The 25,043-nt window shown below is 39.6% G+C and overlaps 1 long non-coding RNA gene across 1 annotated transcript, besides 2 other annotated features; it reads right to left on the bottom strand.

Annotated features, from left to right (window-relative positions):
- Nucleotides 11,966-12,467: an enhancer, noted in NCBI's record as "H3K4me1 hESC enhancer chr13:74096615-74097116 (GRCh37/hg19 assembly coordinates)". NCBI's record gives its function as "activates a minimal SCP1, AML or CMV promoter by ChIP-STARR-seq in naive H9 embryonic stem cells {active_cell/tissue: H9 hESC(naive)}" and the evidence as "EXISTENCE:reporter gene assay evidence [ECO:0000049][PMID:30033119]".
- Nucleotides 12,468-12,967: an enhancer, noted in NCBI's record as "H3K4me1 hESC enhancer chr13:74097117-74097616 (GRCh37/hg19 assembly coordinates)". NCBI's record gives its function as "activates a minimal SCP1, AML or CMV promoter by ChIP-STARR-seq in naive H9 embryonic stem cells {active_cell/tissue: H9 hESC(naive)}" and the evidence as "EXISTENCE:reporter gene assay evidence [ECO:0000049][PMID:30033119]".
- On the bottom strand, nt 13,087-15,653 carry LOC105377816 (uncharacterized). The gene is made up of 3 exons (XR_942079.2): nt 15,434-15,653; nt 14,268-14,355; nt 13,087-14,008 (listed from the first exon to the last, which is right to left on the bottom strand). It is a non-coding gene; the product is annotated as an uncharacterized LOC105377816 (long non-coding RNA).
- Between the last annotated feature and the right edge of the window lie 9,390 nt (nt 15,654-25,043).

A 25,043-nucleotide genomic window follows, 5' to 3' on the forward strand; every position in this document is an offset into this window, starting at 1 on the left:
GTTAATAGGATTGGGTAAGGTAAGCATAGAGCAAGTCAAATGCTATGGGGGAGGAGTTTGATGCTGCCAACATGACATTTTCCAAGTCTAGAAAATAGTAAATGGAAAATGGTATGCTTTAAGAAATATCTTTAATGGGAAGGCATATTTGCTATTATGATATCACACATTGAATTTTACTTGGTATTGCTTCTGAAATTTTTTTAATAAAAAAGAGAAAACACAAGACACACTCAAGCAGCAGAGGAAAATGTCCGAGACAGATTTTGCACTCAATGGAAGTTCAGTTACTGCGATAATTATGAAGATAATTATCATAATGAAATATGAAGGGAAAGCCCTTTTGCACAGCCTGGCTTCATGCATTCACCCCTTTAGAAGCATATTTCTACTCTAGTATAGTCAGATAGTTTTAAAAGCAATTTTATGCCATACATGCTGAAGTTGACATAAAAGAGACATTTATTTTGTGCTCTGAATCATACAAATCCTCCTTTCATTCATTCAGGTATTCAGTCAACCATTTATTATTAATTGACCATCTACAATGCGCCAGACATCATTTTAGACACTGGGGCTACCATGGCAAACAATTTGATGATTTTCTTCCTCCACGGAGCCTACTTTTTGGGCTTGATCCTCACCTACTCTCTCTGCTTCTTTGGGGTCACAGCCTTCCTGCCTGCTCTCCTTCCTTCAGATTGATGTACAGTCTACCCTATTTTAGTTTGAAACCTCAGTTTCCCTGTCTTCTCTCTCCTTTCCTTCTTAGTTTCATGTGATCTTGGAGAACTTCTAGTGTAAAATCTAGCTCTGAGAATTGCTTCTTTCATATCCTAGCCTGCATACAGAACAATCCCAAGTCAGCCTCAGCCTCCTAAATGGGACCCAAGCCCAAGACCTTGGTAGGTGTTTGGGAGCATAGCTGGAAATTAACCTATTTCACTTTGAACAAACTAGTGAAGATGTTGCTGAATAGACTCAGTTTCAAGATGTAATAAGGGTTTTTTATTGGCATACATGATATAAAGCTTCACATACTTTTCCTCAGTCTATTAATCAAGTGTCTCCTCTTTTGTGTTCTTTCTTTTGTTGAAATAAAGCAACAACCATAGCTCCATCATGTAATTTTTTTATTTTGTTACCCTTTCACAGGAGGACACATAATGTTAAATCCTAATGTTCTCTGTCACAAGAAGAATTAAATTATATCTTGAGGCTGAGTTATTTTTTATGTGGTATGAATGACACTAACTCAATATAGATCCCAAAGCAGTAGAATCCGTCATCAGTGCTTTGGTCTCCTAGTATTGGGGTACATCAGTGACCTATATGCATGGAGTGGAGAGAAGCTATGAGTCAGTTGAGGCCAGTGCTGAAAGCAAAGCCAGTGACCCAGAGCTTATAAACCCTGTGCATTGATATTAATAGCTTGATTTCTAGAAATCAGTTTTATCTGAGGCTGGCTGTACTAATAGCCATAGCTCTAAACATCTTAGTACTTGTCCTATGGCCTTCCAGGCATATTTATAAAATGAATTCATGTGGTGTTCATTGACAGGTATTTAGCCTATTTAGCAGATTTTATATTACTAGTAGCAAAGAAGTTCTCATGGCAAAAAGACACCTGCATATAACTATGCCAATTTGGTCCAGAAAATCTTAATAAGGTCTATAAAAATATTCTCAGTAATAGTGGACATGCCAACAAAAAGATTTATGAGAATGAGCAATTACACTTTACTTTCATTCTCTCTTTTTTTTTTTCCAAAAAACGGATGGCTTCTACTATAAATCAAGAAGAAATTCCAGAATAAAATGTCTATGAGTGGAACAATTAACACAATGGCTCTTTAATTTCTTTATTTTTTTTTTTTTCTTGAGACAGGGTCTTGCTCTGTCACCCAGGCTGGAGTGCAGTGGCACGATCTTGGCTCACTGCAATCTCAACCTCCCAGGCTCAAGCAATCCTTCCCACCTCAGCCTCCAAGGAGTTGGGACTACAGGCATATACACCATGCCAGGCTAATTTTTGTATTTTTTTTTAGAGATGGGTTTTTTCCATGTTGCCCAGTGATATGGTTTGGCTGTGTTCGCACCCAAATCTCACCTTGCGTTGTAATAATCTCCATGTTTCAAGGTCAGGACCAAGCGGAGATGATTGAATCATGGAGGCGGTTTCTTCCATGCTGTTCTTGTGATAGTGAGTGAGTTCTCACGAGAGCTGATGGTTTTATAAGGGGCTTCCCCCTTCACTTGGCACCCATTCTCTCTCCTGCTGCCCCGTGAAGAGGTGCCTTCTGCCATGATTGTAAGTTTCCTGAGTCCTCCCCAGCCATGTGGAACTGTGACTCAATTAAACCTCTTTTCTTTATAAATTACCCAGTCTCAGGTGTTTCTTCATGGCAGCGTGAGAACAGAATAATACACCCAGGCTGGTTGATTTAAGTCCAATTGGTGAAGTGGTAAATTTATTATTCAGAAAAGACAGTAGAAGATGACTGAAGAGCCCCCACTATGAAAAGTTACCAGAACTTTCAACCCCTTATTTTCCAGTTGCAGAGCCCAAGCTACCTCAACTGTGCCTTACTGCCATGACTGAGGCCACAAGACGTGGCATCCTCAAACTGGGGACTATATTTCCAGGCTTCCGAAGAACTCACTAGAACAACCTAATTCATAAAATATTCCATAGCTGTGATAAGTGTGAATCCGGTGGAATTACAATGAGAATTTAGATATATAAGTATAGTAGACATACTGGGTTATCTGAGGTGTCCTTCATTGGGATTCCCTTATCCCCACCACTAGTCACAGAAGCAGGTTCCTAACAGTCATCTTTAGACATTGTGACAATGCCCAATAGGCTCCAGTCTTATCTGTCCAGGGTTAATCAGCTAAGCTGAGCAGCATCCCTTTCTTGGCAATTTTGAGGGTGGCCCAAGAAAGTTCAACTTCGGTCTGTGCTGGTGAAAGAAAATATAAACACTGAGGCCATATTTTCTGCCACATAGATCAGGGGGCTGAGGAAATAGCCTGGAAAGATGGAGAGGAGAAAGAAAGAGAAATACATGGAAAAGGAGAAGCAGAGGAATGGTAGAGAGTAGGGGGGTTGGAGGAGGTTTCCCGTGATGCCTGTTTCTGGTGAATGACTACTCTGTTAGACTGATGCTCGTATGTGTTTTTCTAATTCCCTCAGACCCCTTAGGGTGTCATGGGTTTCCTAGTATCCATATAATAAATCCTCTTTTTTAAACTTCAACTCTCTCAAGTTGACTTACATTGTTTGAGCCCCAAATTCTACCTAATCCAAAAATTAATCCTAAAACATAATTTCTAAGACATTTAAAGCAGACGTTCATTAGCTGTGTCCATTTTTCCTATTCATATCCTGCCCATGCATGGGGATTTCATGTCCTGGACTTGTTAATGCAAGGATTTCATGTCCTGGACTTGCATTAACAAGTTCCTGGCTTCTGCCCTTTGTGTCTAACCATCAAAATCCAGGTCAAAACGCAGGTATTCCAGGAAACCATCACATCTTCACCCAGCCCATTATGGTTTCTTTTTAATTCTCTTCCTAGCATCTCTCCACAGCCCTGAGAACACACTACATTATTCTTCACGTGTTTAAACATTGCCTTGCAATCATTCTTAAAATGCTTTGTTTGCTTATATTTTTTTCTCCAAAGAGATGATGAATTATTTGACAAAAGGGATAAAATACTTTATTTAAAAAAAGAGTCAGAAAGGAAATATTTTACTGATTTACTTTAAATAGCCTCTGTACTAAGAATTGCATACCACAGGTGCCCCATAAATATGTTAATGGCCTCTAGCACATTGTGAATTTGTCATCAAAATCCCAATTTTCTGATACTCGAAGTGAACATTTGAAAACTGCTGACTTAAAGAAAATAAGATAGTGATGACATCTGGAAAGGGCAAAATGTTTACCATCCAAAGTTTACCTGTGATGCATTACTTCGCTCATAGTTTTCCATTTTTCAAAGAGAAGCAGTGTCAGAGTTCTAATGCAAATTCTTTTATGTATAATGTATCTGGGTGACTAACCCCAGAGGTCCTTCCTTCTAAATGAGGCCAAGCAAAGGGCAGTTCTCCTGTAAGTCCAATGCCTTGGGTTAGATTTCCCAGGTCTAACTCGTCAATAGATGCAGGAGATGATACACATTTTAGAAAGAGCACATGCTTGCAGGGAAAACACCAAACTATCAAGAAAATGACACATTAAAACCTTTGAAAAAGTGTTTGTAGAAAGCGCAGGGGGAAAATTTTTAGATTCTAATTTAAAATCTATAATGTGTCATTTAAAAAAATTCATCCTCTTCTAATGAGACTATTTTTTAATGGTAGAGGTACCCCAAAACATTTTTAAATTCATTGGCAATTGGAGAATAATGCAAACTATATGTACAAGAAATTTTAACATTTTCAGAGGGCCAGGAGGAAGCTATTGTACAAAGCTGAAATACATAGAAATTTTCTTTAATGAGTCTCAAATTTTATACTGTCACATGCCCTGAAGCTGCTGGGATGGGAACATTTTTGTAAATCTAAAATAAATAACCGGAGTAGATTTGTTACTCACAGAAAAACACAGCATGTTTACATGAATACCTCTTCTACTTGATTCCTTTGACCTGAGAACTTGAGTAAAACTCTGAAAAAGCTGCCAAGTTCCAAAACTGGGAACAGGCCCAGCCAGACATGATTTTTATTCTCTTCCTCTAGCTGGACACAGTATCTCAAGTAGACAGGGTTAAAAAATACACAATTCAATCTGTTTATTATTTTACTTTAAGTTCTGGGATACATGTGCAGAACGTGGAGGTTCATTACATAGGTATACATGTGCCATGGTGGTTTGCTGCACTTACCAACCTATCATCCAGGTTTGAAGCCCCGCTTGCCTTAGGTATTTGTCCTAATGCTCTCTCTCCCCTTGCCTCCCACCCCCCAACAGGCCCCGGTGTGTGATGTACCCCTCCCTGTGTCCATGTGTTCTCATGTTCAACTCCCACTTATGAGTGAGAACATGTGTACACAATTCAATTTTTACCAATCAATGTTTGTGCTACTTTTGAGACTGCATATATACAAAGGATAACAAATAATTTTGTTTTAGTCATTGGCTAGATGTGAAAAGATTTTCACAACAGTTTTCTTGTTTTGTTTTGTTTTGTTTTGTTTTGTTTTCCTATTTCCCTATCTCTGCCTTCTCAAATCTAGTACTCCTTGGATTTTTATCCTGTGGTGCTCTTTGCCCCAACGTATTTTGTTCTCAAATCAGCTTCTCCTTAAACCTGCAGACCAGCAGTCTTCCCCCAGCCATGGACCTGATAGATGACATCTCTGGTTATCTCCCAGGTCAAAGGACCTTTGGGTGATTTGTCAAGTTGGGAAAAGCCAGTAGGAAGCAGGAAAGAGTATCACCAGAGAAAGGGCAGAAGGAAAACCAGCAGAGGAGCCATGCTCTTGGGGCGTTTATCTCTCAGGGTAATAGCCATATCTACCCATTTACTGTGGCCGCCGTGAGACCCTCCAGGCTTTTCTTCTCTTTTTTGGAGTCTGACCCAAGTACTGGTCATTTTATCCTCTGATGTTTCATTGGCTCCTTCTTCTAGTCTTATCTCAAGGCATTTGGTTTCAGGACCACAGAAATTAGACATGGTTGCTGTCTGGCTCAGAGGGTATGTGACCATTTTTTAAAAATCTCAATTCATTACTCTTCTCAAATTCTAGACCTCTTGGCTAACTGGATATTCATCAGAAAGCTTGCTTCGTTCTTGCTAGACTGACCATAAACTGGGATTTCTCCAGTCAGAGTTTCATATAAGTAGCCATCAAACTTTAGGCAAAACCACTCTACTAGAGTCTACCCACTCTTAGCCAACTTGTGGAAAAATCTCTCAGAGACATTGATGGCCTTTCAAGAATAAAGCCCTAAAATAATCATTACTCAACTCTCCTCTCCCTTTCTTTCTGACTTTCCTTATTTTAACCTGTCTTATCAGAAGGTTGTGAGAAATTACACATTTCTTGTAACATTCCTTTGGCTTAGGGTCACAGAAAGATACAGCAGTGAGCATATAAACATTAGAACTTAAAATAACCAAAAAAAGCAATTATAATTTTAGCTAAACATCTATTTTCCTTTTTTATTTCTCCTTAGAGTGACCCACATCACAGCATTATCTTATTCGAAGTATTTTTTTCCTCATTGGTTTTATGGTTTCTACATTAGGTGAATGACCTGCCATTTTTTTGTGTGTGTTAAAAAATGAAAATTTTATCTAAAAATTTACTCTTTTAATACATTTTTGACCTTATCATGCCTTTAAGTATTTTTTTCCCACATGGCTCATTATACTTTTTGTAACAGGAAGAAATAACTTTCAGATGTAGGGAGCTCTTGGAATGAAAGTTTGAGTCTCTTAGAAATTCAAATAATCTTGACTTTTGGATGCAAACAAAACACAGGGACTTGCAAATGTTTGTGACTGCTAATAGAAATGCGCCCTTTCATCTAAAGGGTTTTACAGTATTTAAAAAAAGCTGGTGAGAATGCAAAATGGTACAGCCACTTTGGAAGAAAGTTTGGCAGTTTTTCAGAAAACTAAGCACACTCAAATCATCTGGCAATTTTGCTTTTTAATATTTACCCAAATGAATTGAAAACTTATGTCCCCACAAAAACCTGCACACAAATATTGATAGCAAGTTTATTCATTATTGCCAAAATGTGGAAGCAGCTAAGATGTCCTTCAATAGGTGAATGAATAAAAAAATCGGTGGTACCTCCAGGCAATGAAATATTATTCCTGAAACGAGAAATAAGAATCAAAACAAATGATCTATCAAGCCACAAAAAGACATGGAGGAAAAAAATACATAGTGCTAAGTGAAAGAAGGCCAGTCTAAAAGCCTACATACTATGTGATTCCACCTATAGGATATTGTGGAAAAGGCAAAATTATAGAGACATAGATAAGTAGCTGCCAAGAATTCTGGGAGAAGAAAGGCGGGATAAATAGGTGGAGCACAGGGGAGTTTCAGGGCAGTGAAGCCATTCTGATTGACACTGTAATGGTGGATGTATGTCATATGTTGTTGAAACACATAGAATTTACACTCAAAAGAGTGAACCTTAATGTAAACTACAGATTTAGTAAGAATGACATATCAACATTGGCTCATCAATGCAACAAATGTACCACACTTATGCGAAAATATTAATACTAGTGTTGCAGGGCAAACCACCAAATTGGGGCTCAGCCCAGGAGACCAAGTGCATTTTTGGCTTCATGCAGGAAAAAATTCAAGAGTGAGCAGATGGAGTGAAGTGAAAGCAAGTTTATTAGGAAAGTAAAGGAATTAAAGGGTGGCTACCCATAGGCAGAGTAGCCCTAAGAGCTGCTGGTTTGGTATTTTTATGGTTATTCTTTGATCATATGCTAAACAAGGAGTAGATTATTCACAAGTTTTCTGGGAAAGGAGTGGGGTATTTCCATTGCCGAGGATTCCTTTCCTTTTTAGACCATAGAGGGTAACTTCTGGGAGTTGCTGTGGCATTTGTAAACTGTCATGGTGCTGGTGGGAGTTTCTTTTAGCATTTTATATATTATAATTAGCATATGACAGCAGCAAGGGTAACCAGAGGTTGCTTCTGTCACCATCTTGGTTTTGGCAGGTTTTGTTTGGCTTCTGTGTAGCGTTCTGGTTTATCAGTGAGATCTTGTGACATGTGTCTTGGGAAACTGGTCTTGCAATCTCCTATCTCATCAGGAGAAACTGTTGGGGGTGACGATGGGTGGAAGGCAGGGGGTATGCGGGATCTCTTCATACTTTCTGCTCAATTTTTCTGTAAACCCTAAACTGCTCTTTAAAAAAGTCTATTAATTTAAAGCAAAAATGAACTTGCTTCTTCTTAATTATTACAGAGTAAGGAAGTCTCAAGGGCTTTCAAAGCCACTTTTGGTAACTTCATGGCCCTTTAGTAGGCTGGCGGGCAGAATGAACATGTAGCACTAGGTGCATTTCCTGTGCCAGCCTCTATGCCAGGTACTTTCCATGCATGATCTCAGTGGAGCCCTGGAAGGTGGGTATTATACGAAGCATTGAGGCTCAGAAAGATTAAATCATTTGTCCAAGGCCACAGTGCCTGGAAATGGTGAACCAAGTCTCAAATCAGGTCTTTCTGGTTGAAGGAAGAAAGGAGGCAGGCCCCCTTTCACTCTTGAGACTGGGGCAGGGTACAATGAAGTGGTAAAGAGAGGCTTTTCACTACCCTTCAAGGAGCCCACTCTAGTTGTTACAGGAAAGGGGTCCTAATCCAGACCCTAAGAGAGGGTTCTTGGATACCATGCAAAAAAGAATTCAGGGTGAGTCCATAATTGAAAGCAAGTTTATTAGGAGAGTAAAAGAATACAAGAATGCCTACTCCATAGACAGAGCAGCCTTGAGGGCTGCTGGTTGCCCATCTTTATGGTTATTTCTCGATGACATGCTAAACAAGGGGTGGATTATTCATGCCTCCCCTTTTTAGACTATGTAGGGTAACTTCCTGACGTTGCCATAGCATTTGTAAACTGTCATGGCACTGGTGCGAGCGTAGCAGTGAGGACGACCAGAGGTCACTCCCGTGGCCATCTTGGTTTTGGTGGGTTTTGGCTGGCTTCTTTATTGCAACCTGTTTTATCAGGAAGGTCTTTATGACCTGTATCCTGTGCCGACCTCCTATGACATCCTGTGACTTAGAATGCCTTAACCGTCTGGGAATACAGCCCAGTAGGTTTCAGCCTCATTTTACCCAGCCCCATTCAAGATGGAGTTGCTCTGGTTCCCATGCCTCTGACATAGTTAGAACTCTGTGAGCTCCAGAAACCATGCCAAAGCAAAGCCCATGACTACCCTGTGTCCATCCCAAGATTTTCCTGCTGTCGGGGGCACAGCAGGGAGTCTCTCCCTGAGGCGGCCAGGAGTTCCTCAGTCAGAGGGAAAATACAACAGGAGAAGAATGGCTGTGCAGACGGCCTGCATAGATGATCTGGTACTAATATATCATTCAGAAAACACTTGCAATGTCCTTTATGATCCTCTCAGGATATTTTTATTACAATTACGGGCAACAGCCCATGAAAGATACGCCACGGTTCTCAATTTACCCAAGCAACTACCATACTCTTTTCTTTACTTCTGCTCTTACATTTAAAAAAAAAAGTTTCAGGGCTTACATATTACCTTTGCTAATTTTGAAAGAGAAGGAAAACCTGCAGAATCAAAAGCTCAAATAGCTCACTTTAAAAGCACTTGAGAACAAGAGAAAGTTTTATGTGATTACATTAATAGCAGTGACAAATGCATGTAAAACACTTAACTGTGGTCTGTGATGCAAAGAAAACCCATTTAGGTGTCATTCATCTTTTTCACATTAGTACAATGAGTACTCTCTGCTTTCTCTTCTCAGACAACACTTGAATTAGAATGCTGCATTTTCCAGAAGCAAGCCTTCTAACTTTTCTTTCTAGCACACCCTTCTATAGAAATGATTTAACCTCTAAAGCCCAAAAATATAAAACAAGATCTTTTTTTTTTTCATCTAATTCCATCTTCCTAAAATTTTTTTTTGGAAACACTTTGTCTTTGAAGGGACATAATTTCTATTTACTGATTGGCTAGCTCTCATATTTTTCTCCTAAAGAAAATAAAGTATGCAAAAGACCAGGCATGGTGACTTACACTTGTAATCCCAGCACTTTGGGAGGCTGAGGTGGGAGGATCGCTTAAGCCCAGGAGTTTGAGACCAGCCTGGGCAACATAGTGAGACCCCATCTCTACAAAAAAGTTGGGAGATGTGTGATGTGTGATGGCATGTGCCTGTAGTCCCAGCTACTTGGAAGGCTAAGATGGGAAGATCATTTGAGTCCAGGAGCTCAAGGCTGCAGAGATCCGTGATTGCAGCCACACATTCCACCACATTCCAGCCTGGGCAATAGAGTGAGACCTTTTCTTAAAAAGAAAAGAAAAGAAAAGAAAAAAAAGCAAAAAGCACAATAAACTATACCTGCTGGTAAGGTATTTCCTAACTCAGAATCATGAAGAATAGAAAAGAAACAGGGAGATGATAAAGAAGAAAACAGTGATGAGGTGTGGAGAAAAAGTGGAAGGGAGGGGGAAAGAGACGGGGAGGAGACAAGTGAGGAGGAAATGGAGGCATTAGAAGTGGCTGCTCTGAACATGCATCAACCTAGCTTCCCACAGCCGTGGATGCTGCACAGCATGAAAACTTCAAGAAACTTTCACAACTGTTCCCCTCCTCTCCTCCTAACTGCCATCTTCTCCCCACTCCCCAGTCAAGTTTTACACGTGAGAGAAACTGTATGATGTGGTGGAAAAAAAAGTTTTATGGAGAGTCAGATGACCCGCCTCTAACTAACCGTGACCTTGCCAGGTCATTCGGCTCCTCCAATCTTCTATTTCCACACTAGAAATAGCAGGGAGTTGGGCCTGAAGATCCCATAGTCCCTTTCATCTCTGACTTACCTGAAAACTCAGACCTGGAGAAGTTACTTGTGCAAAGCCACATAGCTAGTTAGGGGCAGGGCTAGGCTGGATCTAGGGTCTCCTGGGGAATCATAAGGTTTTTATAGCTTCCTTTAGGTGGAGTGGATTGTGCAGAAATTTATTCCGTGGACTAATACAGGCACCCGTCTTATTGAACCACCCTGTGTTCCCCCAAACCTCTTTACAATTTTGGTTTTTGTTTTTACATTTTTCCTGGAAGGTCAAGTCAGCCTGTACAAGAAACCCAGCAGTAGAGGCTGTCTCCTGTTCACTGTGAAAGTGAAAGCTTGGAGAAGAGCAGCCTGTTTACTAATGAGAGCAGTGAGGTCGTACCTCACTAGAGAGGAAAGAGGATGTCAGGCAGGTAAGGGCTTCAGAGGGTCTGGGTGAAGAATCAGTGCCAGTCTCCTCACTCCAACCTCATCCCTTCTCCCGCAGATGCACACAGGGACTGGGTGGACAGGAGGTCCAGTGTTGTCAGTCCCTCCTGTCTGCCCTTCAAATAAACATTTCAAGGCTCCCAAAGGGATTTCTTGCAAACTTGAGTTTCTGATGTGGAAGGAAATGTTTCCAGATATTTTTTAAAAATCACAACAAGCTCCAGCATCATACAAAGGAAAAGAAAATACTTAGGTTTAAAGCTTTGAAGGAATATTAAATAAGAGACAGAATTTTGGTTATGCCAGATATGAATGCCAGCACTATAGGAAAGAACCTCATAAAACATATCAAGCCCAGGAAAAAATAAAACAAGCAAAAATAGACTATCATTTGAACTATAGCAGGCCCATAAATTCAGCTCCAAAATTACAGCCAACACACATACCATATTGTACAACTGAGCCCGCAAAAGGGGAAATTAACAATAAACCAAAAAGTTTTTTAAAATAACATGTTGAAGTAAAGAAAAAATGCAAAGCTACAAAAGTCATAATAAGTAACTTTCTGGGAAAAAAAAAACGCCAATGAAGTATCTTATTTTCCTTTTTAAAGATTCTGGATTTCAGAGAGCATCTGAGATAGTGGATGAGTCAATATGGGTGGGTAGGTTCAGCGTGTTTGACAAATAAGTTTTGCTCCTCACCAGGACATTTGGATGATACATAAATAGAAACCTTCTTTTCATCTTGAGAAGCATAAGGAAGTGCTTTCTCAGAGTGAATATTTTCCTCAAATCACTTGGAAAAGAGAAAGAACATTTATTTCCATGTTTCTCGTATCTAGCAAACTCTATTGACCTGAGGTTGAACTTGAAAACATTGTTCTAGTACAGCCTCTCTGTCAATTCCCAACTTGTCTTTCTTTACCATCTCTCCATGCTCTTAGAAACACCATCTCCTGCAGTACCTCTCACTTTATTTATTTATTTGAGGCAGAGTTTCACAATTGTTGCCCAGGCTGGAGTGCAATGGTGCGATCTCAGCTCACTGCAACCTCCGCCTCCCGGGTTCAAATGATTCTCTTGCCTCAGCCTCCCAAGTAGCTGAGATTACAGGCATGCGCCACCACCCCTGCCTAATTTTATATTTTTAGTAGAGATGTAGTTTCACCATGTTGGTCAGGCTGGTCTCGAACTCCTGACCTCAGGTGATCCACCCGCCTTAGCCTCCCAAAGTGCTGGGATTACAGGTGTGAGCCACCGTGCCCGGGCCCTCCCATAAAGAATGCTTTTTTGTTTGCTGGAAGGTTGAGTAGAATCCCCTCCAGTGCTAATGCCAGTGTGTGAAGTTGAGCACAGGCCACCAGCATCTGCCCCAGCCTCCCAGCAAACCTCCCTGTCTGCAGGGGCTTTCCTGCAGGCCGATAGGCTATGGTGCCGCATGCTGGGACAACAAACTGAAGGTCACCGTTGGCATACCCTTGTGAAATCAAGGTGTTCTTTTTACTTGCTTGCACCTCTATCTCACACCTGCCAGGACCTGGGGAGAACAGAGAATCTTTCCTGCAACTTGCGCGAGAACCAGGCCCCACTCCAGCATTCACTGTGCCAGGCTGCTGTGTTTCTGGAATGCTGAGCTACATTCACATCCATTTCCATCCTCTCTAGAAAGCAGCAGCAGGGCAGCTCCCAGGCTGGGCTGCTATGCTGCCGCCTCCTGTTGCCAAGGCCCGAAGTTTGTGGCGTAAGAGGTGGGTTATGTTTTCGGAAGGTGATACTCTGCTCCCCTTTTGCTGCCTGCTTCTTACCTGTAGTGTTCGAAATTTAAAATTCAAATTTGCCGTTCACATCCGGTGTTATTAGACTTGTTTATTTCAATAGAGAGTGGGAGAGATGACTATACATAGGCCCTACAGAGTGAAAGGAATCGTCTGAAGGAAACAGATCAGGTGCTTGTGTTTTTGGTTTATTCGTTCCTCGGCTGCAGTTCTCTTTGAGTTTCTCTTATTTAGTCTCTGACCCACAGTCAGAGCTAGAATACAGATCGCTATCCTTAGAAGGAAACTGAATAATTAAAGGTCATCCAATATACCGTCATTCTTTTATATAACCTCCAAGGGAAAGCCACTTAGGGCTAACAATGCCGTATGGTTCAGTTTTGTAAAAGTAGAATTATCATCGTAATCCTAGAATGTCATGCTTTCTACTCGGCATAGGCCTGATGCTCATTCTTAAATAGTTGCCGTTAAGTTCATTTGCCAGGGTATGTACTAGGGTGAACATTCTAAGGCATTCTATTCCTTCAAAGAGCTGATGTTTAAAAATCCCAACTGTTTGTACTTATCTTAATTGCCAAATATTTAATTGCCAAATATGTATTTAATTGTTATATATGTATTTCCCCTTATAAAACATTCTGCCTTCAAAAAACTCAGATTTCTCTCTGTGTTTTCTTTTAGATCAAATCTCAAATATAAGAAGCAATAGCATTTCATTGTTACTCATTTATCAAATGTAATTCCATGAATATGGTATGGAACATAGGAATTCACAGGATTCTGTGTGGCAGTCCTTTCTTGCCTGCCTGTGGAAATACTGGGAAAAGGCAGAGATATGCAAATGCATATTTCTCCTATTGGGGAATGTCTGGTTGAATCGAGTGGTAGCATTTCTCCACTTTTGGGCAGGGAGCATGGGCTGAACAAGGGGAAAGCTGGGAATTTAAGCTGCCCTAACAAATATAGATACATTCACTCTGGCTTGGGCTATCCGAAGTAGAAATGCTTGATTTTAGATTATCTAATGCTTTGTGTCTAAAGAGTTTCCCAACATTTTTCACATGATGTCACTCAGAAAATAAAAATATTTATACCACAAACTGGGGTCAACTTAATAGCATTTGGAAGATAGTTGAGGATCTTCTGTGCTGCAAGTGGACTTGCTGAAGAGCTTGGCCCATCTCTGGTCTAACCTGGCTGTCCAAGGATGGGAAACATCCTTATCTTGCGGTGCACCAGTTGGAATCCAAACCCCAGTTTAGTAGCCCTGGAAAGTGGGATTGCAAAGCAGACAGGATTTGTCTTTTCTCCCCCATCTTGATCAATTTCATTCAATGCATAAGTATTTAATAAAACTCTAAAGCATGCTGTCACTGGGCTCTTAATTGTCCTACATGAAATGATCAGAGCTCTTCAAGATATGAAACACAAATCTGCCAGTTTCATATCTGAGATTGTTATTATTGTTTTAAAAAACCTCAAAGAAAAAATGGATGATTCCTTATCTTTACCTTCAATTACTTTACCTGTATTCTGGCTATCTGCATATCTTGTCCAATCTTGCCACCATCTAGAAATCACTCCTTTCTTGGCCCCAGCTGAAACTTTTATTCTCTATCAATTAAAAATAGTTCAGGTTAGGAGGTGTTTAACTCCATCGATTTAAAAAAGTTTGTGATCATAAGTCAATCTTTAATTATTTGAACACACAGTAACATAGCAGGCATTTTTGATTTCCTCACAAAATCCCTGGGACTTTCTCTCCTTAATTATGTCATTTTTCAAGGAGCTGATACAGGGAAGCCATTTTTTTCTATGCCAAAGAATCCCATGAGCTATCCTCCTCTTCCTTCTTGGAATCCTTCCCTTTCTTCCCAAGTTCAGAGAGAAAAGAGCCACCAATTTGGAAGAGTGCATACTAGCAAAGGTAGCTGAATTTTGGAAACTTAAATCTGAATTCGATGAGAAGTGCTTCTTTTATCTTGTACTCAATTGTCTTGAGAGATTTACTTTTGGTCTGTAAACATCAAGCTCAGGCATGGTGGCTCACGCCTGTAATCCCAGAACTTTGGGAAGCTGGGGCAGGAGGAAGGCCTGAAGCCAGGAGTTCAAGACCAGCCTGGGCAACATAGTGAGATCCCGTCTCTACAATAATAAAAAATAAAAAAAAAAGAAATAAAAACATTAAATTGCCTGAAACTTCAGCTCCATGTTCCAGAAGAGAAACAATGATCATAATATTCATGAAGACAAAACCAGTTTACCTCCTGCTTCAGCTTGATTGATCTCAGCTTGATGCTTGATTGCCCACTGATATCATAGTAGCCTAGAAGCAGTGTGGTGAGGGGAGCTGTACTACCTGACAGAAAAACCAGACTTAGAATCTGGAAGAAGAGTTTGAATCCCGATTTGGCCGCTTCCTAGATGGGTGATTTTGTTTTGATTACTGAAGCTCTGACTTATCTCTGCTTCTTCATTTGTAAAATAGGCACTTTTTTGGTGTGAATGTTTATAGCAACTTCATTCTTAAAACCAGCAACAACCCAAATGTCCTTCCATTGATAAAAAGAGAAGCTTGAGTACATCCATACAAAGGACTACTACTCAGCAACAAACATGAAAGAACTACTGATATAATAACATAGGTGGATCTCAGTTGCATTATATGAAAGAAGCCAGACTCAAAACCTACATATTCTGCTGATTCCACTCAAACGATATCCTGGGATAAGCAAAAGCGTAGGGTATCGAGAACATACTAGTGAGTCCCATGGATTGGAAGCATGGGGAGGGTTTGATACCAAAGGGACAATATGATGGAATGTTTTGGGGTGATGGAATATTTATACATTCTGATTGTGATGGTTACACAACTGTGTGCAATTATAAAAGACCATAAAGCTACATGACAAAAGAAGTGAATTTTACTGTACGAAAATTTAAAAATATATTTGAAAGCAATAAATCAATTGGAGTTTAAAATCATCTGTGTGTTGCTTCTTTTAAGGAAACTTTGTGTCAATTAGAATGTACAGTCATCCCTTGGTATCCATGGGGAGTTGGTTTCAGGACCCTCCATGAATACTAAAATCCACAAATGCTCAAGTTTCTTAAATAGTATTTGGTATATATGATAGTATATATACTAAAATACTATACTATTTAGTGTACTATATATATTTTGTGTGTATATATATATATATATATATATATATAATGTTATAGTATTTGCACATAACCTAAACATATCACCCTATATATTTTACATCATCTCTAGATTACTTGTAACACCTAATATAATGCTTACACATCATTTCATTCATGTCACTTCACACAGTACTTGGCATGTGACAAATTCAAGTTTTGCTTCTTGGAACTTTGTGGGACTTTTTAAAAATCCCACTGCTTGATATTTACTCAAAGGAATGGAAATTGGTATGTTGAGATAGTTGCACTCCCATGTTTATTGCAGTACTATTCACAATAGAATAGTTTATATGGAATCAATTTACATGTCCTACAGCAGGTGAATGGATAAATAAAATGTGTCACATATATACAATGGAATACTATTCAGCCATAAAAAGAAAAAAATGTCATTTGAGGCAATGTAGGTGAGCTTGGAGGACACACGTTAAGTGGAATACGTGAGGCACAGAAAGATAAGTACCACATGGTCTCACTTATATGTGGGAGCTAAAAAATTTGAGCTCATAGAAGGAGAGAGTAAAATTAAGGTTATTAGAAGCTGGGAAGAATAGGGGCATGGAGAGAATGGGGAAAAGTTGGTTAGCTGATACAAAATTACAGCTAGATAGGAGGAATAAGCCTTAGTGTTCTATAGCACTATAGGGTGACTATAGTTAATAATATATTGAATATTTTCAAATAGCTAGAAGAGACAATTTCAAATGTTTTTAACACAAAGAAATGATAAACTTATGAGGCAATAGATATGCTAATTACTCTGATTTGATCATCACACATTGTATATGTGTTTTGAAATATTATTCTGTGCCTCTAAATTAAATGGGCTAAATTAATCCTAGCTCAAAGAGGTTGACATGCAAATGAAATGAGATATGAAAGTGTCTGAGCACACAGAATTCCATCTATAAGTGGTAGTCTGAAATTAAATGGATGATGCTATACTGTAGTTTATCTAAGGTATCTCTTAAGCCACCACTCTGCTATAGGGTTTTGGATTTTAATTAAGTGAATCAAGGGTAACTATTACTTTCCACCTCAGCCTTAGGGGTAGAAAAAGGATAAAGTAGGATTCACTTCTACATTTAGTCTTGCCCCAAATTTGTAATATCAAGCCAAGCTTCACTGGGGAGCCAGGAACTCAACCCCTACAGGGCTAATTCCACCACGCTGGAGACCTGCTGTCTCAGAAGCAAAGCCTGAGTCAAGATGGATCTTGAGGATGTCTTTGTTCCTCTGTATCAGGACCCAATCTCCATACCTGCTGCACATTAGAATTTCATATGAAACTTGAAAAATACTGATAGCAAGGCTGTAGCCCCAGAGATTTTGATTTAATGGTCTAGGTAAGGGCCTTGACAATAGCAATTTTTTTAACTGCCTCCAGTGATCTCAGTGTACAGCCAGAGCTGAAAACTACTGCTCTAGACATTGCAGATCTAGGTGACCTGGAGATGTTACAGGTCAAGGTTGTAGTTGGAGGCATCTGATGGCCTGATACTGAAGAACCCTCCCTTTCTCAGATGCTTCAAGCATTGAGTCAAGAGCAAGAGAAAAGGGATTGGAATGATAATCTCACTTCCAAAAAGAAGAAAATAAGCAAAGTAAGCTTCACCCAGAGCAAATCCTGGGCAATGCTAAAGAGCCCTTTTCTTGCCTGCCTGTGGGTTCCAATTTTCCGAGTAGCACTTGAATAACAGAACACTGCAGATTTTTTACAACGTAATTCCAGAAGCCTCATTTAAGCTGATATCATTATGGACTTTTAAATCTCCTGCCTGCATTTAGTTCCTTGGTTTCTAAATTAAGAAGTACTTAGAATGTAATGAGTTACTTAGATTGCTTGTTCTCTAATGGTGGTTACGGAGCTGTGCTCTTAAACCACTGCACGCAGAGGATATTTTGATCAAGTCACAGCCAATTGTCTTAAAAAGCCAGAGTCAGAAAGAGCAATGTGAAAGCATTCAAATGATGGGAATAGAACAAAGATTTCTTAATTTCCAGTCCTCTTTATCAATTGAATCACATAATAAAACTCAGACAGGGCTACTTCTCTCTTTGAAATAGTGATATGTACATGTTTTTCCCCTTTCTCTTACAGATGAAGATCTCTGACCAGTTGTAAAGACCATATTCCTTTTCTGCCTTACCCAATTGCTTAACAAAATCCAATTTCTTTTTTTTTTTTTTTTTTTTGAGATGGAGTCCCGCTCTGTCACCAGGCTGGAGTGCAGTGGCGCAATCTCAGCTCACTGCAAACTCCGACTCCCTGATTAAAGCGATTCTCCTGCCTCAGCCTCCTGAGTAGCTGGGATTACAGGCACGCTCCACCATGCCCAGCTTGTTTTTGTATTTTTAGTAGAGTCGGGGTTTCACCATGTTGGCCAGGATGGTCTCGATCTCCTGACCTCATGATCCCCCTGCCTTGGCCTCCCAAAGTGCTGGGATTACAGGCATGAGCCACTGCGCCCAGCCAAATCCAATTTCTACTTTCTTGTCTGTTCGCACCTCCAAATAAACTGAGGATCCTTCTGCTAGATGTCATGAGAATGGTCCCCACATTCCTTTCTAATGAGCAGAGCCTCAAACTGAGTAAATGGTAATGTTAAGCATCTTAACAGAGCAGAAGCAATATCTACCCCGTCATTGTTAAATAATTAGTAGCTACATTAAGAATTATATAAAAACTAAAATTTTATGGAAAAATAATTATTTCTGACTTAGACATCTGCGCAAGCAGGGGATTCATTTAACCACCTGATCCCAAATCAAAGTCAAAGGACTTCACTGTCCTCATACTACTTCCCCACCAAAAGATGTTAATATTTATCATCAGGGAGAAAATTGATAACTCATTGATATGGTTTGGCTCTGTGTTCCCACCCAAATCTCATCTGAAATTGTAATCCCCACATGTCAAGGCAGGGAGGTGATTGGATCATGGGGGAAGTTTCCCCCATGCTGTTCTTATGACAATGAGTGGGTTCTCACAAAGTCTGATGGTTTCATAAGTGACGGTTCCTCCTTCACACACTCTCTTTCCTGCCACCTTGCGAAGAAGGTGCCTGCTTCCCCTTCCGCCATGACTGTAAGTCTCCTGAGGCCTCCCCAGCCATGCGGAACTGTGAGTCAATTAAACCTCTTTCCTTTATAAATTACCCAGTCTTGGGTATTTCTTTATAGCAGTGTGAAAACAGACTAATACACCCATGGTGGTCCGATATAAGCAGGATGAATTTGATTACCTTCAATTAATTTGGACAGGAAAGCATAAGGATAGTCGTGAAAATAACCTCCTACTAAATCAGAATCTGTTTCGAATCCTACTGACAGGAGGGCTAAAGAAAAAATAAATTTTTAGCATCTAGCTTGCAGATGAAGCCTGTCGTAGGAGCCGCAGGTGATAGTCCCATAGAGGAGACTGCTTCAGAAAGTGAGCTCCCAAGATTAACGACTGGTTCACTTTGCATAGTGGATTCCTTCATTCCACGAATATTTATTGAGTGCTAGGCACTTCTTAGACACAGAACAATGAGTTTATTGGAGGTGTAATATCTCGTTAGGCAAGTATGGTGACTCTGGTAAGCGGATCAGCCAGATCTGCTTGGCCTTAGTGTATCCTGAATTTAAAATGACCTCTGCATCCTTGGTCCCATGGCAATCTTAAAATTTATTTGAAAATTTATTGGAAAAATTATCCATTTATTACAAGTCTTTTAATTTTCTAACTGTAGTTACCAGTTACTTCAGGAATATTGTTTCTTCCTTTGATATTAACTCTCTTCTTAATTATATTTGCTACAGGCTTGTCAATATGTGTAGTGCCTATCAGTATAAAAACTAGCTGTTTATACAGATTATTGTTATGTATCGTAAAGCATCTATTATTCAGTGAAAAAGCAAGGTGTACAACAATATGTATATTGTATTATTATTTGGGTAAACAGTATATTTATGGGAATGTGGGTGAATTGAGGGACTAAAGAAGGAAGTTCACTTTTATTCCCACTTTCTTTGCCATTAACATTCTTTGTCACGATTAACTTTAGTAATAATTTTAAAATACCTGTTTTTTAATTAATTAGAGTGACTCAAGACCAATATCCAGACAGGACTCAGCACACTGAGGGCCTGTTTTTACTTTTATTTACTTATTTATTTATTTTATTTTATTATTATTTTTTTGAGACAGTCTCACTCTGTCGCCCAGGTTGGAGTGCAGTGGTGTGATCTTGGCTCACTGCAACCTCCGCCTCAGGGGTTCAAGCGATTCTCCTGCCTCAGCCTCCTGAGTAGCTGGGATTACAGGCATGCGTCACCACATCCGGCTAATTTTTGTATTTTTTAGTAGAGACGGGGTTTCACCATATTGGCCAGGCTGGTCTCAAACTCCTGACTTCGCGATCTACCTGCCTTGGCCTCCCACAGTGCTGGGATTATAGGGGTGAGCCACCACGCCTGGCCTTATTTTATTTATTTATTATTATTATTTTTTTCTGAGATGGACTCTTGCTCTGTCACCCAGGCTGGAGTGCAGTGGTGCGATCTCGTCTCACAACAACCTCCGCCTCCTGGGTTCAAGTGATTCCCCGGCCTCAGCCTCCCAAGTAGCTGGGACTACAGGCATGCGCCACCACTCCCGGCTAATTTTTTGTATTTTAGTAAAGACGAGGCTTCACCATGTTGGAGGGCCTGTTTTTAAAGCGCAGCGGTCTCAACCCTGCAGGCTTAGGCTTCAGTTCTACTGAACTTGATTGTGCTTTTGATAACTGGCAGTGTGTCATCAGGGTGGATTGCCAGAACACTTAGGGGAAGTCACTTGATCAACTTGTCCTTGGCACAATGGCCATTCTGAAAATAGACGTACTGAAGTGAAATGAGTTATACTAAAAACTTTTTCCAAACGTTCAGTTAACTGGAGTGTTGTATGTTGTGTTTGAAAAACATTTTTTTAAATGTGGAATTGTTTTACCTTAAAGTGATAACTCCTGCCTGAATGAAAGTATTTAGTGTTGAGACATGTATATGATCAGTGAAAAAGCAAGGAGTGCCCTTCTGGACTGAAATCCCTTTTCCCCTTCCATTTGGGGATTTCTATGTGCTCAGGCATAGGCCAAAGCAAGATAGATCCCTGTGTCTGGAAGAGAAAAGATGACCAGGGAACATGGAGACAAATTTGCTCACAAAAATATACCCCCCATGCAAAACTAGAAAAAACATTTTGTGGCAAATGTGACACAGATAGCATTATCCTTGTTCATTATACGATAAGCTTTTGCAGACTCACTCAGCACACACAAAGATAAATAGGCAAGGTCTATAAACCAACAATTCTCAAATGAGGAAATATGGTTCATTCATTCACTAATTTAATGCAATTTTTATTAAGTCCTTGATACAGGAGTATAGCACATTTGTCACGAGTTCCCTAACTGAGACTAATCAATGTTGGAAACCAGGAGGAGAGAGAGAAACCTCACCTACTACACATTAGGAGCCTCCACCATGACTCCTAGTCTTGTGACTCCAAAGAGCATTATTTGATAGAAGACAAATGGATTTGCTAGGAGCACTGGCAATACTTTCCCACCACACAGGAATAGCATGTGTTATGCTTGCTTGGTGTGTAGCCTTCAGACACCGCAAGACTCACTGTAACTACCAACAACATGCAACACCAAGTTATGCCTGGTACTATAGTTGAACCTCTGGGCCTCACTTCTGGTGTGCACCATTTCCATGAGCCTCACATTCCTGTTTATCCCCTTCTTACCTTCTGCCAGCTGGTTACTATTCAGTAATTTAGGACACAGAGTTTTATAATTTAGGACATAATTCAGGACTGGACCTGGCAAGTTATTGGATAGGGGCTAGGGGTGGGAAAAGGGGAATAGTGAATGACTCCTAGGTTTTCGGTGTGAGCACCTGGGGGATTGTAGTGCCCGTAACAAAAACAGGAAAACTAGAGGAGAAACAGTATGAGAAGGAGGGTTCAGTTCTGAACATGTTGAGTTTGAGTTATCTGTGAGATACCAAAGAAGGGATGTCCAGAAGGGTTTGGTTTCTACTCATCTGGTGTTTTTAGATGCAATCGACATAAAGATGGGAATCAAGCCATTCATGGGTGTGGATGAGACTGTTTAAGACTTGTTTGTAGTATGAGATGATTTAGTGGGCCCAGGCGAGAGTCCCGCGTAACCCCAATTTTTTAGGAATGGGTCAAAGAGGAAGAGCTAATAAAATGGCTACAAAGGCAGAAGGAAAACTGGGACAGTGCCTTTGTATGAAGCTGATCCCTTTCCCTGGAGTAACCTCCCTCTCTCCTTTGCACGGTGAAATACAGCTAATCCTTCAGCATATCTCAAATGTCTCTTTGGTGCAGCAAACATTTTTGATTCACTCTCTACTTCCCCAAGAGCCATAAAAACCCCATTGCTCTCTTTTCTCTGCTTCTATAGGACTTCAAAAAAGGCAAAAATGAAACTGTGAATGTGGCTGCTGAAGACATCTCCCACCCCCAGCCCTATAATTTTCTGAGCTGATATATCGCAAGGACATGGCAGGTGATTCTAATTTATTTCTGTTTCCTAGCACCAAGAAGCACATACAAAACGGTCAGTAAGTGTTGAGTTAGTATTGCTTGCCTGACTTTGAAAACTTTGTTCCTCACTCTGACAAAGATTTAGGCCTAGTAGGACACATTATTCAGAAAAGGCTTTAAAATGGAATCATTTCTTGTACAACATTGCAAGTTAATTAGTTTATTATTCATGCCACACCTACTTCCAAAAAGAATTTGAGATAGCTTGCAATGAGTCACAAGAATAATTACATCTTTAAAAACATAATGAAAGCATCATGCCATGGAAAAAGGTGATAACATTATCTGATAAGGGAAGCCAAAGAAAGTTGCTGCAATTGAGATTACAATATAGTCTTATACTTCTTAGCAGAGAAGTTGATATGTTCTTTTTGAATAGCTCATGTACTTTTGAGGGACTTTGTGTAGGTGGAGAACAATGCATAGGCATATTACCTAGACTAGCTAAAATTCTGCTGGGCTTAATTACAATCCTCAAACTCTTTATTTGCCATGTTGTGTATAATTTACTTAAAAGTGGCCTGTGAATTAAAACAACAAAAAAACAATTCTCTCACTTGCAAGACAAACTAAACAGATCTTCTTCTCTGCAGAATGAGGATTCTTTTTTAAGGTAAAAATATTTCAAGCTATCTTATAATTGTACTTTTAGAATACATTGCTTGAGAACATATGACCAAAAAAAACCTACCACAAATTTAGTAACCCTTAAATGTTTTCTATTTATTAAAACGTAAAACTAACTGAATATGTTTTTAGGAGATGGCACAGGTATTTGCATAAGATTACTTGTTTAGCACAGAGACATTGCTTGGTAAGCGCATGGATTTGAAATGTTTTTTGTATTGGCTCCAAGAATCTTCTGACCAGAGAATGAGAGCACCCGGTCTAGGGTAGAGCTTTTCAAAGTTATTATTGTAATTAGTTGGTTTGTTTAGTTGTAATTGGCTGTGTACCTTTTTGTTCAAAGAACTCATGCTCTGACGATCGACAAATCACAGCTCTGATAAGGTTGGAACTGGAGTCTACATGAATGGGTGTCCAGAAAAGACCTTATTTAAAAACTTATTATCATCCAACCAAAATTATACTAAAGAGAAAATATCATTAAAAATCATCAGTTTTCCTGCACGATGATGAGTAGCTTGGCAATTAATGTTAGCTTCAGCATACTCATTTGAAGATCCATGACTTTAAAATATGCACTGTCTTTATTTTTATGTCTCCAAAATTGCAAATTTCCTCTAAGAAGTTTCCCAAAGTCCTAGAAGATTCTTTAGATTATAGCTTAGTCAAATATGCAGACTTTGAGGGGAAAATGATTGTCTGTAATTGCTTTATCAAATCAGATGGAGTTCAGATTTTTCAAACTCCTACCAAAAGGAAGATAACTTTGAGGTGAATTTGTTCTTTAAGTGTTTGAATTCCACCTGTTACTACTGCATCACAAAGCATACACTGTAATTTTACTCTACGATAGAATTTCCATCTTCTTAATGTTTCTGGAATTCAAAAAGATAATTTTGATTAATAATTTATTTAAATAACCTTCATTTCACAATATTCATAAAATGAATATAAAAATATCTCTCTTTTCTTCATTTTTATTTTTAGTTCTGGGGTACATGTGCAGGATGTGCAGGTTTGTTACATAGGTAGAGAGGTGTGCCATGGTGGTTTGCTGCACCTACCAACCCATCACCTACATATTAAGCCCAGCATGCATTAGCTATTTTTCTTAATACTCTCCTTCCCACAACCCCACTGCCCTGACAGGCCCCATTGTGTGTTGTTCTCCTCCCTGTGTCTATGTGTTCTCCTTGCTCAGCTCCTGCTTATATGTGAGAAGATGCAGTGTTTGGTTTTCTGTTAGTTTGCTGAGGATAATGGCTTCCAGCGTCATCCATGTCCCTTCAAAGGATGTGATCTCATTCCTTTTTATGGCTGCATAGTACTCCATGGTGTATATGTACCACATTTTCTTTATCCAGTCTATCATCGATGGGCATTTGGGTTGATTCCATGTCTTTGCTATTGTGAATAATGCTGCAATGAACATACGCGTGCATGTGTCTTTGTAATAGAATGATTTGAATTCCTTTGGGTATATATCCCAGTGAATTCTGTCTCATTATAGTGATAAATAATATTCACCTGTAGACTGATAAACTGGGAAAAAAGCCATCTTTATCCATTTCAATAGGAGATGTGTTTTCAACAAAATTTATGCTTCATATTAAAAAAAGAATATCTCTCAGTGTGTCTTAAACATATACATATACATACCCCCATATCACAGTTAAAATCACCTACGTGAAAGAACGAGATTACCCTCCCTTCACAAGCCAGCATTTCTGAATCAGCACTCGGTATCATTGTGGGATATCTCCCATCTCATGGATTATCTGTTCTGTGATTTGACATAGATCCTGGGACCTGGGAATTTGCTACTGACTCAAACTCCTTGAGGGCAAAGACAGCTTCCTGCTAATCC

This window comes from Homo sapiens, chromosome 13, assembly GCF_000001405.40.
Source record: "Homo sapiens chromosome 13, GRCh38.p14 Primary Assembly".
Classification (NCBI taxonomy): domain Eukaryota; kingdom Metazoa; phylum Chordata; class Mammalia; order Primates; family Hominidae; genus Homo; species Homo sapiens.